This window comes from Homo sapiens, chromosome 4 (genome assembly GCF_000001405.40).
Source record: "Homo sapiens chromosome 4, GRCh38.p14 Primary Assembly".
NCBI classification, from domain to species: domain Eukaryota; kingdom Metazoa; phylum Chordata; class Mammalia; order Primates; family Hominidae; genus Homo; species Homo sapiens.
In genome coordinates this window covers 494669-508709 of record NC_000004.12, presented here as the reverse complement: position 1 = coordinate 508709, position 14041 = coordinate 494669, and the positions used below count along the sequence as shown (strand labels likewise).

At 46.9% G+C, this 14041-nt stretch overlaps 2 protein-coding genes across 39 annotated transcripts in view, besides 4 other annotated features; one reads left to right on the top strand and one right to left on the bottom strand.

Annotated features, from left to right (window-relative positions):
• The window catches only part of PIGG (phosphatidylinositol glycan anchor biosynthesis class G (EMM blood group)), a 40991-nt gene extending 31491 nt beyond the window's left edge, over positions 1-9500 (bottom strand). For 21 of the 38 annotated variants that reach the window (NR_144327.2, NR_144330.2, NR_144332.2 and 18 more), the window contains exons 1-4: positions 9221-9500; positions 8109-8314; positions 2783-2992; positions 1117-1305 (exon numbers count right to left, since the gene is read on the bottom strand). Coding sequence is in view for 23 of the 38 variants with exons in the window: in NM_001127178.3 (NP_001120650.1) it covers positions 1117-1305; positions 2783-2992; positions 8109-8314; positions 9221-9374 (759 nt within the window). In the remaining 15 variants the exon portion in view is untranslated. Of the gene's footprint in view, positions 1-1116; positions 1306-2782; positions 2993-7539; positions 7612-8108; positions 8315-8662 lie in introns of those variants that run through there. The other 17 variants (NR_144326.2, NR_144331.2, NR_144329.2 and 14 more) reach the window with 6 other exon arrangements.
• Positions 8539-9402: an enhancer, noted in NCBI's record as "H3K27ac hESC enhancer chr4:493097-493960 (GRCh37/hg19 assembly coordinates)". NCBI's record gives its function as "activates a minimal SCP1, AML or CMV promoter by ChIP-STARR-seq in naive H9 embryonic stem cells {active_cell/tissue: H9 hESC(naive)}" and the evidence as "EXISTENCE:reporter gene assay evidence [ECO:0000049][PMID:30033119]".
• Positions 9360-9839: an enhancer, noted in NCBI's record as "active region_21128". NCBI's record gives its function as "activates an Ori minimal core promoter by ATAC-STARR-seq in GM12878 lymphoblastoid cells {active_cell/tissue: GM12878}" and the evidence as "EXISTENCE:reporter gene assay evidence [ECO:0000049][PMID:35858748]".
• Positions 9360-10268: a biological region, named in NCBI's record as "H3K27ac hESC enhancer GRCh37_chr4:492231-493096".
• Positions 9403-10268: an enhancer, noted in NCBI's record as "H3K27ac hESC enhancer chr4:492231-493096 (GRCh37/hg19 assembly coordinates)". NCBI's record gives its function as "activates a minimal SCP1, AML or CMV promoter by ChIP-STARR-seq in naive H9 embryonic stem cells {active_cell/tissue: H9 hESC(naive)}" and the evidence as "EXISTENCE:reporter gene assay evidence [ECO:0000049][PMID:30033119]".
• ZNF721 (zinc finger protein 721) overlaps positions 9554-14041 on the top strand; it is a 59169-nt gene continuing 54681 nt past the window's right edge. The window contains exon 1 of the mRNA NM_133474.4: positions 9554-9654. The gene's annotated coding sequence lies outside the window, so the exon portion shown is untranslated. The remainder of the gene's footprint in view (positions 9655-14041) is intronic.

The following is a 14041-nucleotide window of genomic DNA, read 5'->3' as shown; positions in this document are numbered from 1 at the left end:
TAGATTTTTTTTTCCTATGAGCTCATAGCCAGATCACAGGGTCACAGTCAAATAATGCCATAAATGAAGTTCACAGAATTGTACACAGCTCATGGAGCACAGCAGGCTGCATTTCTGCCCTCTGATGGCAGACGGTTTGTATCTGGTTTCTGTCTTTGCCACTGCCAAGCTGTGAGACTCTGGACGCATTCTACTCTGTGCCTTGGTCGCCTCATCTGTCAAATGGAATCTTTCACAGGACTCTGGTGAGAACACAACACACAGCAAAAGGCAAGAGCTCTGAGCCATGTGGGGGCACCCACCAGGCTTCTCTGCCCCTGGGGTTGCAGCCACACATCCTTTGCTGCTCCGGGACAAGCCAGGCAGGCTGTGCCTGACCCTCGCTGCTGGTCCTCCTGGAACACTCGTGCACAGACCACATGGTCTGCCCCTCCCTCCCTTCAAGTCTCTGCTCACCCTGCACACGTCTTCAGGGAAGGCTTCTCTCAACACGCTGTTGAAAGCCCCTCCTCCTGCCCTCTGAGTTTCTGCAGCACCCATCACCTCCTCACATACTTATTTACTCATCTTTCTCATCTCTCCTGGCTAGAGCGTGAGCTTCACGAGGGATTATCGACTGTTTCACTGATGCACCCAAATGCATGGACAAAAAGTGACATAGAACAGAAACAGAGACACAGAACAGACAGAGTGACACAGAACAGAGACAGTGGCACAGAGCAGAGAGAGTGACACAGAACAGAGAGTGACACAGAAGAGAGAGTGACACAGAACAGAGAGTGACACAGAACAGAAAGTGACACAGAACAGAGTGGCACAGAACAGAGAGAGTGATACAGAACAGAGAGAGTGGCACAAAAGGTCTTCAGGAGGTATTAGTTGAATGAATGCATACACGGGTAGGAGTGAGAGCTGCTGTTCTGCAGGGCTGCTGGAAGACGGAGTCAGTGCAGTGGACACTGAGACAGTGCTGCCCGTGTGGCATGCGGCCCCTGGCTAGCAGACTGATGGTGGACATTCACACAGGCACCCTGAATAACTCAGGCGGTTGCATTTATTCTAGGGAACATCCACGTGAAACCACATCAGCAGACAGTGAGCGACGGCGAGCCTCACCTTCGACTGCAGTGAGGTGTGGATCTTCATCAGCACGCTGTCCATCTCGCTCAGCTTCTGCCCAATCAGGGGGCTGTTGGGCCCTGAAATGTGGCCAATGTGGTCCAGCCCCAGGTAGTGGAGGATTAATATGTCCCAATCTCCTCTTTTTAATACTTTATCCAAATGCCTCGTGACATTATTATCCACCTTTGAAGGGGAAACACACGTATAAACAACTCACCTAATTTCCCTGGATCTTCACTCCCCGGGGAAAACGCAACAGTCATCTTAAAATCTAGGGGTTTATTCAGGTTACAGGATTTGGGGGAGTTGAAACACAACAAAATCTATGTCATTAAAAATAAATAAATAGGCTGGACACAGCAGCTCATGCCTTTCATCTCAACACTTGAGGAGGCTGAAGCGGGAAGACTGCTTGAGGCCAAGAGTTCAGGACCCACCTGGGCAACATAGCAAGACCCCACGTCTATAATAAATAAATGAACATTAGCATTGGATTAAACTTTTGCTAATATTGTTTTTATGTTTCTGGGCTATGGATCGAATATATTCTACAGATAATTTAAATGAGCAAGGGTTCTTCTGACAAAAATATTTTTCTGTGGGATCACTGCTGGGCTTAATGGGCATAACTGAAGGTGAGCAAATGGGCAAGTTAAATAGATCCCAAGTTGTCATGAGGTAACTAAGGGCAAAGGGCAGTTAATTAAAGACAGGACAGTACCCAGCGTTAAAGTAACCAGCAGGATGATGAAGCTGAGGGCATCTACATGTGTCCTACAAGAAGGCTGTTCTGAAAAAGACACAGCACTCAATGATCACATTGATTTCTGAAATAAACACATCACGGAGGAGAGATGAGCAGTTGATCAGCCCCCAATAGAGCTGTCAGCCTGGTGAGCCCTGACCCCTCAGCTAGCTCATCTCCCTCCCACTAAAAAAATCTCCTATGAAGAGAAGTGTTTCTCAGTGATGCCATATATAGTCAGGAAAACTCAGTCATTACTGAAAAGTAACTGTTGAAAAGCGCCCCACTTTGGAACAGGATAGGACTACAGATGCTCCATAAGGCCCAGCCATCTAGGAGGTGAAGCTGGCTAAACCCCAGGCCAGGCAGGTGTGCTGGTGTGCTCCTACCTCAGCCCCAGGTCTGCTTTCTAACATGCAGGTCTAATTTTTGTTGGAAAAGCTCCAGGAAAACCCCCTCAGGACCAGGCCCCACCCAGTCGGCCACCTGCCCTCAGGGCACGATGAGGCTCCGCTTGCAGCAGAACCAACAGGCTGTGGAGTCCTACAGCTCTGCCATGTGCAGAAGCTACCAGCCTGTTCTGCCCACCTGGGGAGTCCCCACTCACCCATCATATCTCGGCTCAGACAGTCCCTTGGCTGTGTCACCCTTCCTGATCCTCTCTGCCCCTCAATGGCACTCAGCTGTTCTAAGCTTTGGGTTCCATAAAACTCTGCTCACACCTGCTTCAGGTTTGTATTTCTGGGTTGTTAACTGATTATGTGAGTGAATAATTTTTACACCTGTCCATAGTACTCCCTATAAATTAATAAAACCAAATATAAAATGGTATCATCTCTCACTAAGTAATGGGATGCCAGGCTCTATCTAGTATGATATTCTAGTATGATATATTTTCTTATTTTAAAAACTGACCTCTGTGTAATCTGACACGAAAAATGAGGTTGTTCCATCATATTCCACAAAATGCTTTGGGAATAATTTAACCCAGGTTTCATCTCCATAAAAGACTATTCTTTTTCCAGCTGCTTTTGCTTGTCTTATCACACTGTCTTCCAGCAGTGCAGGAGAATTGAGGTTCCTGATGACGTCGACAAAGCCAGGAAGGCTCCCCGTCATCAATGCCTGCAGTCAGAAAATGCAAGAATTAGGCCACTGAATCCAAAACCGGAGCATGAAAAGGGCACTGAAGATTTTTTTTTTTTTTTTTGAGACAGGGTCCCTCTCTGTTGCTCAGGATGGAGTGCAGTCATGCAATCAGGGATCACTGCAGCTTTGAACTCCTGGGCCCAAGCGATCCTCCCACCTTGGCCTCCCAAGTAGCTGGAACTACAGGTGTGTGGCACCACACCCAGCTTTTTTTTTTTTTTTTTTTTTTTTTTTGGTAGATACAGGGTCCCGCTATGTTGCCCAGGCTGGTCTGAAGATTTTTTATGGATAAAATAGGTGAGCATAAAGCTAGGGCATCCCTAGTACTGGTGGCTGGGTCAATGTTAGGACAGTAATTAGGGTAAAGAAGAGAAAGAGGCACATAGATTCTGGTGAAAAACTGTAAACTCAATAGTAACAAAGATAACCATATTAAAGGACATTCATGGCTCCTAATAATCTTTCCAGCTGACAAGAGGTTAAAGGAGGCGGCTAGGGATAGCGAGACGACGGCAACAGCCAGAGAAGCAGCTATGGGTTTGCGATGTAGCTGAAGCAAACGGCAAAGTGAGGTATACATTAGAAACATTAACCTGTGTATTCAAAGCCTCTGCCAGGTCCCAATTAAGATTCAAATCTCCACGTGACAAGCAAAGTCCATACGACTCCTAACAATCCAGCAATTCCAATGTCTACCTTTGAGTGGAAAACCAGGATGAAAGCAGTCCTAAAGCGTGAACTTTCAGCAATTTGCAAAGTGAACTGGGGGCCAGGGAGGCCACTGGGATAGTCTCTTCTGCTCCCACCCTCAATGTTGCCCCATATTTTCTGGGAGGGGTGGGAGGTGACTTGCCCTTATACCCTTCTGATAATAGAATTGAGTCAAGAATTTCCCTGAGTTTAGCATAGAACCTAAGAGGCCATGGTAATGGGTAACAGATCTCTGTGATTTAGAGTTATACAGCCACCCCAGCCAGCACTGGCATCCTGGAACCTGTGCAATGAAAATAAACGGGAACCTGGGTAACATCAGCAGGTGAAATAATTTTACCGAGACATCTTTAACGATAAATAAATGCAAGTATGAATTATCCAGACTTCTGGAATGCCACAGGGAGGAGCTCGGCAAAATCTCTCTCCCAGGAGCAATAATAAAACTGGATGAAACTGTCAAAAGCAACCATTTTAGTACTTTGGAAATTCACCAAAATTATAGAACAGATTGAGAAGTGCTTATTTAAGAAAAAACACGGAATCTCAGTAAGAACAGCAAGTGCCCATGGTGTTTCTACACAGGGCGGCTCCCACTTCCCTCCTTTCCAGCTCCACGCTGCAGCAGCCACTGAGAAGCCCCACACCCAGGGAGGTTATGAAAACACATCAGGGGTGCTGAAGCACAACCTCTGACCAATCAGTGGCTGACCACTAAGCTATGCGGAGCCAGGGCCAGCACTCAGGAAGACAGGCTTAAAGATAAAAACAAGAACTTAAAAACCAAAAGAACCAAAAGACCTAAGTCAAAACATCAGTTGCCGCACGCTCCCGGGGAGACAGACTGCAGGAACTCACTATACAAACAACCAAAATAACCCTAACAGCCACCAACATTCCTAGGGTGGGGCCAGAATTGAGCTGAGGTGGGGTTTGCCTGGATACACACATTTGTTAAATGCTGTACATGCAAAAATGTAATTGTATAAAAATTATATTTCAATAGTTATTTTTTAAAATGTGAACCTCACCCCAAAATTGTACTCCTTAAAAGGCAGCCAATTACTCTTGGTGAGTATCCTTTTGGACTCTTTTCTGTGTGTGTGTGTGTGTGTGTGTGTGTGTGTGTGTGTGTGTATAAAATCACAAATATATGAAGGTACACATTTTTTACCAAAATGGTAGCAAACTATACAAATTACTCTCAAACTTCTTCAATTAATAACACATCATGAACATCTTTACCTAGGGAAAACACAAGCATTTTATCTTTTTTCCAAACAGCTACAGAGCATTCCAGTGTGTAGCTGTACAATAACGTATTTAACCAAGACCATTTTACTGGGCATTTATTTTAAACAGCTTCCTATGGAAGTGCCACTTGAGCTGAGACCTGAAGGTTGAAAAGTTGTGGAGGTGAGGTGGGACTTTCCAGAGTAAAACACCTGCAAACTGCAAAGGCTCCAGGCAGAAAAGACAGCAGCACCCGGGAGGAAATGAGCTGCGTGTGACCTGTGTGGATGAAGGGCAAGGGAACACGGAAGGGGGCCTATATGAGGATGAAGAGGTAAACGGGAGTGAGGCCACGCAGAGCCTTGAGGGACGGGTGATGGGGTTCAGTGTTCAAACTGGGCAGAGCGTAAACTACTGAAGGGTTTTAAAGAGTAGTGTAGCAGGGTCTGATTTGTGTCCAGAAGTGATTTGGGCCAAGAAAAGGTGCTAGGGCATTTATAACAGTTCAGGCTGGAGCCCACAGCAGCCTGGACGACGGTGGTGGCAGTGGAGATACCAGCTCAGTCAACCTGTATTCACATCCACAGTATTTCAAGAGCACCTGTTCACCTCGTTTCTTGTGCGGGGTAGAGATCATCAATCTTTAAATTTTTACAATATGATAAACAAAAACTGGCATATGGGTTGTTTTGTTTGCCCTGCTCTGATTACTAGTCAAGAATCTCTGCATATGCTTATTGGCCATTCCGCTTTCTTCCTTGGTGGATTCCGTTATATACTCGGCCCAGTTTCCATAGGACTGTCCCTCCTTGATCCGAACCTCTTTATACATCATGGACTTAACATCTTGTATGCCATGTCCACTGTCAATAATTTCTTCAGTTTATCATGTTGTTGACTTTGTTTACAACATTTGACAATATAAAAGTTTTCTGTTTTCATCCCTTCTTTTGTGGCTTTTACAAGGCACCTCCCTCATCCTCACACTAGCTTGGGTTCCCACCGATATTTTTAAAGAGGGTAGGGACTACTTGGCATCCCCTCATCCCAGAAAGCGTGCAGACAGCGAGTGGGCTGCATTTACAGTCCTAAGAAATCTAAGGGAAAGCTCAGGTCTGTCAATCAATGCCAGCTATTATTATGACCAGAAAGTTCTTTAAGAAAGAAAAGGCATTCAAAAATGAGTTACATGACTTTAAAACAAAGCTGCTGCAGGGTCTTAGCAAGTGAAAGCACACTGGACATGTCAGGGTTGGCGTCTGGTTACAAATGTATCAACACCAGGAGATGCTCTGAGCCCTTTCTCAGACTGGAGGCAGGGCAGGGGACACTTTCCTCAACCAACACTGCCCAACCCCAACCTACCAAACTCCAGAGCTGTACAATCCTAACTCCAGTATGGGCTTTCTGTTCTAGCTCCTCCCTGATGGGGAAATAAGGAGCAAGAATCCTCAAAGGACTGAAAATGAAACAAAACACTAGCTCTGGGGTGAGGCTCCCCAGCAAAGGTGAAATAAAACCAATAAGCTGGAGACAGAGGCCCCAAGAACCACAGTGCCAACGGACTGGTCTGAATAGAACCTAGAACCTGCACAATCACTTATACATTTTCTCAAATCTGCCTGTTAAATCTTAAAAGAAAAGGAGAAAAGGGTTCCTTCCACACTTCTGATAGAGCAGATAAAGAAACCGGTGTTCCTGAAAATCAGGGGCTGGATGTCTTTCTTCCAGATTCCCACAGCTAGTTTCAGCAGGACGGCAAAAACTCTGAGTGCTGTGTTCAAAGGTGCCGGGCATGCCCCTCTCCCCTTCATTCTCTCTCACCTCCCTCTCCATTCCTTCCAGAGCAGTTGTCACTGTCTGAAACCATCTTCATTGATTCATATTTTACCGATTTTCTATCCCTCCAATTAGAAAGTAAGCTCCATGAGGACAATGCTGTCTTGTTCTTCACTGCCTCCCTCCTGTCTGGAACAGTGTGGCACACAGTAGATGCTCAATAAATATTGCTGAAGGAAGTCACATCACATTGAAATGCGGCAGAGAGAGTAAGAAATTCAAGGAAAAAGTCAGTGAGTGATATGGCACTGTGCTTCCTTCAGTCTCAGACTGCTTTCATCCAGTGAACATCTGCCAAGCATCTGCAAATGGGGCTGCCCCCAAGCCTTAAATCAATAAGTAGCTCCTTCTCACCAAATAATGTTTCACATGATCAACAACACAGCTAAGGCTCCGTCAGAGACTTTATGCCACGCTCACATGCGATACACTCACACACTTCAACCCCTCTGCTCCTTTCTGTCCCCACCTTTATTCATCCTTCCAGTCTCAGTTTAAATGCAATTTCCTCAGCCAGGCTTTCTCACCCACTAATCATCACATCCTGTTCTTTCTCATCATGCATTAACCACACTTTACAACTGCATGTTTTCATATGCTCCTTTGTTGAGTGGCTGTATATCTAAAGACTAAAAGCTACATGAAGGCAGAGATACTATTTTTTCCCCAATTGCATACCCATTGAAGTATCACCACATAGTCGTTGCTCAAAAGTTTTGAGCCAATCAATAAAGGCTTACTTTTTTCTTTACCCACGGTTCTTGGGAAATGCACTATGTACTTCAAAGCTGCTGTCAGTAGGCTGGACACCTGAAGGATATGGTGGAAACAGTGGTAATTGTTGAGGCCGGAACATACTGATTTGATCATTATGTATACTGGTGGATAATTTTGGAGAAGTCACATTTAACTTATCTGAGTTTGCTTTCCTATCTATAAAGTCTAGAGACTGAACTAGATTAACTCTAAAGGCTCCTTCTAAGATTGTAAATGACCCAGTGACGATTAAAGAAGAAAGCAGGTCACCAAGAATGGCATATCTTGGGGTAGGTTAGCCTGGATGATCTTGCTCTAAATCTTTTATATTTGCCATGAAGCATGAGCTTTGGCTACTTGACATGGGGCACAAATGATGGGTCTCAGTTCCATCCCGTGTGAGGCTCCTTCAACATTCTATTGCCCCAGCCAACTGACAGCACAAAATTTCCACTTTCTTAAAATTGCAACTCCAAGCGAAAGACTACAGAGACCCCCTCTAAATCTTCAAAACAGCCAAACCATGATTCATAAAACATTAAGGCAAACTTACCTTGATTCGAGGCATAGTAACTGTAGGTGGCTTTGCTTCAGCCACAAAACTGTGAGATGCTCCTTTTTCCACAAGGTAAGTTGTGTAGGGCATAAATTTCACACCCTTTGACCCAAACACAAAATCATCTCTCAAGGCATCTATCAGAACAATAACAACTTTACTGAAGAGAGGTGGTGGCAGCGTGGTCCAGTTAGAACTGGCTCCTAAGTGTTTGAAAGAAAAAAAAGGAAATTGAACTCTAAACTTTCCTTAGCATCAAGCACCTTCACAATCTAGCTTCTACCTACTTCTCCAGCACATACCCTGCGATATCTACATAACCCAACCCAAAAGGAGGCGACTTGTACTTGGTAGGTAGTGCTGGGGGGAAAGGACGGGGGTTAACAGGAGTAATCTTAGGGACCCACAGTAGCAAGCAGTGAATTATCCTCAGTATGGTGAAGAGTACTGGGGTAGGAGAATCCCTACGTAAGGGTCCTGGAATGGGACATTTAGGGAGCTTGACCTAAAACGCAGAGCTGCAGCTACGGGATGGCTGGGCGTTTACATACTGCGTTTACATGGTCAGCGGCTGGCGATGTGTGCAAGTGGTCCAGAACCAGGGCGCCTTTACTTGCTGTATATGGCTGGGTAGGTGAAGCCTAGGAAGAGGCCTAACGCAGAGAGGCCTTAGCCCCTAGGCAGGGAAAACATCTTGGAGGAATATAAGAGACCAAAACGCGAGGGGATCGGCAGGGGTCTTATCTGTTGTGTGCTAGGGGGCAAAAAGGGCGCCTATAACGGGGAGTGACCCAAAGGCTGCTCAGGAAAGGGGCGGGAGCTCTGGACGAGTAGAAGTGGAGAGGCTGGATCCCAGGTATGGACACAGCTTACTTTGTGGTGATCAGGAAGGAAGGTCGAAGTGGGGCCAGTAGAGGTGGTTGCCACAAAGTTGTAAGAATACAGAAAAGAGACGCTGGAGCGGTTAAAAAAAATTTCTGAGGTGGGGACCATAATGGAAGAGACCACCGGGGAGCGCCGAGAAGAAATCCGAGCAGCGAGGCTCAGAAAAAAGGTCTTCTAGGGGATGTGGGGTCAGGGGAGCGGAGACGCCGGGGAGGGGTCCGTACCAGCCGAGGGTTCGGGCGCTGGGGGCTCCGCTCCGTGTTCCGCTCTGGCAGAGGAACGAACGGGAGCCGGGAAGAATCCCCGAAGGAAGACCGCGATCCCTAGCACCTCGATCGCTACGCAACAGGTAGCGAAAGTCCCGGAGCCCAGCCGCATCGTGGACACGCTAGGCTGGATGCGGAACCGACCCCACCTGGAGCCTCGCCCTGCTGCAGCCGCGCTTCCGGCTCCAGGTAGCCGCCTCTAAGCAATAACGCCAGGCCTTATCGTCGCAGCGACAGTGGCGTCACGTCCGCCGGCGCGCCACAGCAGCGCGTCACTTCCGCCAGCCCGCCACAGCGGGGCGTCACCTCGGACATACGAACAGCGGGCGGTGTTCCCGGCTCCGTGGGGCCGTCTTCCCGGCGAGTCCGCGACGGTCGCCGCCCACGGCGAGGTACGAGGTTTTAAAAAGTTTTTAATTTGGAAGGCAGGGTGCAGTGGCTCACGCCTTTAATCCCAGTACTTTGGGAGGCCGAGGCGGGCGGATCACGAGGTCAGGAGATCGAGACTATCCTGGCCAACATGGTGAAACCCCGTCTCAACTAAAAATACAAAAAATTAGCGGGGCGTGATGGCGGGTGCCTGTCGTCCCAGCTACTCGGGAGGCCGAGGCAGGAGAATCGCTTGAACCTGGGAGGCGGAGGTTGCAGTGAGCCGAGATCGCGCCACTGCACTTCTGCCTGGCAACAGAGCGAGACTGCGTCTCAAAAAAAAAAAAAAAAAGAAAATTCAACCCAATACCTCAGACAACTGGTAAATATCTTAATGATTAACTTCGTTTTAAAGATGCCACATGAGTGAGATCATGAGGTATTTGTCTTTCTGTGTCTTATTTTGCTTACATGATATCCTCAGGTTTATCCGTGTTGTGGCAAATGATAGGGTTTCATTCTTTTATTAGAGCTGAATAGTACTCCATTGTGTATATATACCACATTTTCTTTTTTCTGAAAGGAAAATCTTGGGGCCCCAAAATTACTAAACTAAGGGAAAAGACAAGCTCGGAACTGCTCAGGACAAACCTGCCTCCCATTCTATTCAAAGTCATTCCTCTGCTCACTGAGATAAATGCATATTGATAGCCTCCTTTGGAGAGGCTTATCAGAAACCCAGAAACTGCAACCATTTGTCTGTCACCTACCTGTGACCTGGAAGCCCCCTCCCTGTTCCAAGTTGCCCCCGCCTTTCTGGACAGAACCAATGTCCTTCTTTTTTTTTTTTTTTTTTTTTTTTTCTTTTTCTTTTCAGATGAAATCTCACTCTGTCGCCCAGGCTGGAATGCAGTGGCGTGATCTCAGATCACTGCAACCTCTGCCTCCCGGGTTCAAGCAATTCTCCTGCCTCAGCCTCCTGAGTAGCTGGGATTACAGGTGCGTGCCACCACGCACGGCTAATTTTTGTATTTTTAGTTGAGACGGGGTTTCACCATGTTGGTCAGGCTGTTCTTGAACTCCTGACCTCGTGATCCGCCCGCCTCGGCCTCCCAGAGTGCTGGGATTTACAGGCATGAGCCACCGCGCCCGGCCTGTTTTTTTTTTGTTGGTTTGTTTTTGAGACGGAGTCTCGCTCTGTCGCCCAGCCTGGAGTGCAGTGGCACCATCTCCGCTCACTGCAAGCTCCGCCTCCCGGGTTCACGCCATTTTCCTACCGCAGCCTCCCGTGTAGCTGGGACTACAGGCGCCCGCCGCCACGCCCGTCAAATTTTTTTTTTTTTTTTGTATTTTTTAGTAGTGACGGGTTTCACCATGTTAGCCAGGATGGTCTCAATCTCCTGACCTCGTGATCCGCCCGCCTCTGTCTCCCAAAGAGCTGGGATTACAGGCGTGAGACACCGCGCCCTGTCCGGCCTGTTATTATACATATGATTGATATCTCGTGACTCCCTAAAATGAATACAACCAAGCTGTGCCCCGACCACCTTGGACCCACGTCGTCAGGATCTCCGGAGGCTGTGTCATGGGCGTCCTTAACTTTGGGAAATAAGCCTCCTGAAATGATTAAGACTTGTCATTTTTCTCGATTGACATTGATAAGCACTGAGAGATCCTCAGTGAAGGTAACCCGGCCTGCAGCAGTTCGCCTATTGATCCTCGGTATTGGCTTGGCACCTTATTGCCCAAACTGGTAGGATGATTGCTGAAATCTGGGACCTTGTTCCTCCAGGGATCCCTGATCTTCCAACGTTTTTCGGTGGGGGGTCTGAGGTTTATTTGCTGTTAAAAAACTCCTTTTTTGGGAGTTCCCACTCGCTTCATCAAGGAAGGCAAGCCTGCCTGCTTCTGCATCGACAGATAGCCGTCTTCAGCTTGAGCCCCATCACTAGGTAAGAAAATTGATTTGGAATTTTGTCTTGCAAATTCTTTTTAAATGACTAAAGATAACATTAACAACCAGCTGGTGTTTATTTCTGCTTACACTTAGAGCGTTCAGAAGTCATAGGCTGGGCGCGGTGGCTCACGCCTGTAATCCCAGCACTTTGGGAGGCCGAGGTGGGCGGATCACGAGGTCAGGAGATCGAGACCATCCTGGCTAACACGGTGAAACCCCATCTCTACTAAAAATACAAAAAATTAGCCGGGCGCGGTGGCGGGCACCTGTAGTCCCAGCTACTCAAAAGGCTGAGGCAGGAGAATGGCGTGAACCCGGGAGGCGGAGCCTGCAGTGAGCCGAGATCGCGCCACTGCACTCCAACCTGGGCGACAGCGAGACTCCGTCTCAAAAAAAAAAAAAAAAAAAAAAAAAGAAGTCATGTATTTTGTGTGATCATTGTTAGTTTTGCTTACCTGTTCTGTTGTTTGTTTCTGTCTTGTTGGGGTTTTTTTTGTGTGTTTTGGTCCTTTCCCTTATCGGATTTGACCAACTCCAAACCCTCTAGCTCATGAGTGTAGAATCTTCCCCTCTGAAGAAATAAGAGCACCTGCCTCCCCTCAGCTTTTCGGGGCATTCTCAGACAACTGAGAATCACGTGAGGGTGTCTGGGAGGAATGCTGCCTAAGACATGCAGTGGGTCTAAATAGGTTTCCCCCCCAGAAGAACATACTTAGAGTCTAATCTCAGCTGGCAGGTGCATATAAGGAGGTGACCCCTCCCGCACCTTGAGCCTCTGACACTGTGCCAGGTGGCCACCACACGGGTGAACCCAACCAGTTCGGGGGGTAACAGCCCTGAAAAGCTAGGTCTGCAAGCAGCACGTTTTGGGTCCGACACACATTCTGACTTGGCGAAATCCGAAGGGGAACTCTAAATTATGGGAACAAGGCCTCTGAAGCGGCTAAATACCCAACCGTCTACCCCCCACACACAAAAAAGGCGGTATGGTTGGGGGAGGAAAACGGCCAGCAAAAGGAAAAAACAGAGAAAAGATTTTTAAATTTTCACTGCTAAAGGGATTTTATTTACATAACAACGCCACCTTTTTGCCAGCCAGACCAAACCGAAAGAGCAATGGCTGTATTTCTGAAAGTAGCATTCTGTCCGGCCGAAATATGGTAATGAGATTTAAAAAGATTTTTTTAAAGGAGCTCAATGGTTAAAAGTCAGCTTAATTTGGCCATGCTCAGTGGCTCACGCCTGTAATCCCAGCATTTTGGGAGGCCGAGGTGGGCAGATCATGAGGTCAAGAGATCAAGACCATCCTGGCCAACATGGTGAAACCCCGTCTCCACTAAAAATACAAAAAATTAGCTGGGCGTGGTGGCGGGCACCTGTAATCCCAGTTACTTGGGGGGCTGAGGCAGGAGAATGGTATGAACCCGGGAGGTGGAGGTTGCAGTGAGCCGAGATCACACGTCACTGCACGCCAGCCTGGTAACAGAGTGAGATTCCGTCTCAAAAAAAAAAGAAGAAATGGCAAACTTCCTCTAAAACTTGCCACACAAAGATTATTTTTCCTTCTCTGTCTGCACCTGAGATCTCACACTCAATTTATCCATTGCTGAAATCTGTGGCAAAGCTACCCCTGATCGAGAGATTCCATCTCAAAAAAAAAAAAAAAGTCAATTTTAAAGGCTAACATCCAAGAATTGGGTGTGTATGTGTGCATGTTTATATTTAGAAGGTTTCATGTTTTTGGTTTTTGTTTTTCTCTCCTAGGACCTTGTCTTTTTTTTTTTTTTTTTGAGCAAAAGTTTTTTTTTTTGTTCAGTTGACTGAATTCTGTTTTCACCTGATTTTTTGACTAAAATAGTTACTGCAACAGGCTGCTCTTGAGTTTTTAAGGAAGTATGTAGTTTAGACACACAAAAATGTCTTTGTTAAAAAAAAATTTAGGCTGGGCGCGGTGGCTTATGTTTGTAATCCCAGCACTTTGGCAGGCCAAGGTGGGCGGATCACGAGGTCAGGAGATCGAGACCATCTTGGCTAACACAGTGAAACCTCGTCTCTATTAAAAATACGAAAAATTAGCCGGGCATGGTGGCCGGCGCCTGTAGTCCCAGCTACTCCGGAGGCTGAGGCAGGAGAATGGCGTGAACCCGGAGCTTGCAGTGAGCCGAGATGGCGCCACTGCACTCCAGCCTGGGCGACAGTGAGACTCCGTCTCAAAAAAAAAAAAAAAATAAGTGCACTGTAAAAGCATCACATGGTCTAACCTCAAAATAATTCTCCCTTTTTCTGGAGACCCAGGACTCAGTGTGGGCTTTCCCTAGAGCTCTGAGATCCAGTAGTCCCTATCTAAATAAAACTGGTCTCCTTATACAATCCTATGATAGATTTCTATAATTTATATTTGATTTGGCTCAAAGAAAAATAAAGCTGTCTCCCTCTAGCACCAGCAGACTTTT